Consider the following 1,407-nt stretch of genomic DNA (forward strand, 5'->3'; position numbering starts at 1 on the left):
GAGCACTCCCGTTCCCTGGGCCCTGGATGAGGATTCCTGCAGCCAGCCTGCCGTGAAGTGGCAGGAGTCACTTTCCCTTGCCCAGCCTTAGTTTCCCCATACGGAAGTGGGGATGGGTGGGCCTGCGGCCTAGGCACTCCTACCCCTCTGCTCTCTGCCCGACTCCCATGCCCAGGTGCCTTCGCACACCCTGCCCTGGGCGCTTGGCAGGCCTCAGGCCACCTGTCCAGAGTGGAGTGGAAAAGGGCACAGATGGGGCCATGAGCGGCACTGGCCTGGGCGAAGGCGGATTTTCCCTGTGCAGGAGCCCCGGCACCCGGCTCTCCGGTGGCCACCAGAGGGCGCTCATACTCAGACCTCCAGGAGCACTCGCAGGCCCCTCCCACATGCCAGCACTCAGGGGAGAAGGGGCGCCCTCACCCCTTCACCCTGGGTCATGTCCCTGAGACTGGGGTTCAAGAGCCTCCAGAGAGGCCGGCTTGGAACACCCCAGGCCCAACCCCAGCCTCGGAGCCATGTGGACACTGACTACCCACAGCCACCACCCAGGGCAAGTCCAGCTGCCTGGGCCCATCCCCATCCATGGGAACCCAGCAGCCCCTTGGCCAGACCTCACCAGGGTGAAGCTGGACTGGAGGGGGCGGGGAGCATGACGCAGGGAATATGGGCCAGGTGAGGTCGCCCAGAGGCAGGGAGGGTTCCGCACCCACTGCGTGGGTTCTGGTATTTCGGGGATGAGGCTGTGACGTGGAGTGAGATGAGGCCCCCGGCAGATGCCCCAGCAAGGGGCCCTTCCCCTTCTGGAGAGGGCCAGAGGCTCCTGCAGGCTGACCCCACGCCCCCGGCATGGGAAGTCTCAGGCCTCACCTGGGTCAGAGCAGAGCTCTGCCTTCCCCCAGGGCAGCTCCCTCACAGGTCTGGCCTGGAAAACTTATGGTGACCGAGCCCCCTCCGGCCCCGGCCAGCAGACAGTGGTGTAGCATGGGTGGCAGCTGGTGAGGGGTCAGTGGTGCTCCCTGGCCCTGGGTCCAGGCACTCAGCTCTTTGTCCCACGCACCATGAGACCAGCAGCATTACCACCCCCAGTTCCAGCCAAGGGCAGGAGCACTAGGTGGGGTCTGAGGCCCCAGGAGCGCACGGAAATGCCTGCAGCCCTGCAGTGGCTGGGAGGGGGGCTGAGGGCCAGGGCCACCATTTAGTCACAGGCAGCATGTGGGGTGCTGGCTGCACCAGGTGGGTGCCCAGTGGAGGAAAATGGAGGCTCCCGGAGGTGGAGTGCTTTGCCTAAGGTCTCTCAGTCAGGGCAAGGAGTGACCCACCTTGGCCGCCCTGGGGAGATGGGCCTTGGGTGTGGAGAAGGGTGATCCCAAGGTGGAGACAGTGAAGCTCACCCAGACCCAGTCCTGG

At 65.6% G+C, this 1,407-nt stretch overlaps 1 annotated feature.

The window, feature by feature from the left end:
• Window positions 317-366: a silencer, noted in NCBI's record as "silent region_19608". NCBI's record gives its function as "represses an Ori minimal core promoter by ATAC-STARR-seq in GM12878 lymphoblastoid cells {active_cell/tissue: GM12878}" and the evidence as "EXISTENCE:reporter gene assay evidence [ECO:0000049][PMID:35858748]".

The sequence above is a fragment of the Homo sapiens genome, chromosome 8 (assembly GCF_000001405.40).
Source record: "Homo sapiens chromosome 8, GRCh38.p14 Primary Assembly".
Lineage (NCBI taxonomy): Eukaryota > Metazoa > Chordata > Mammalia > Primates > Hominidae > Homo > Homo sapiens.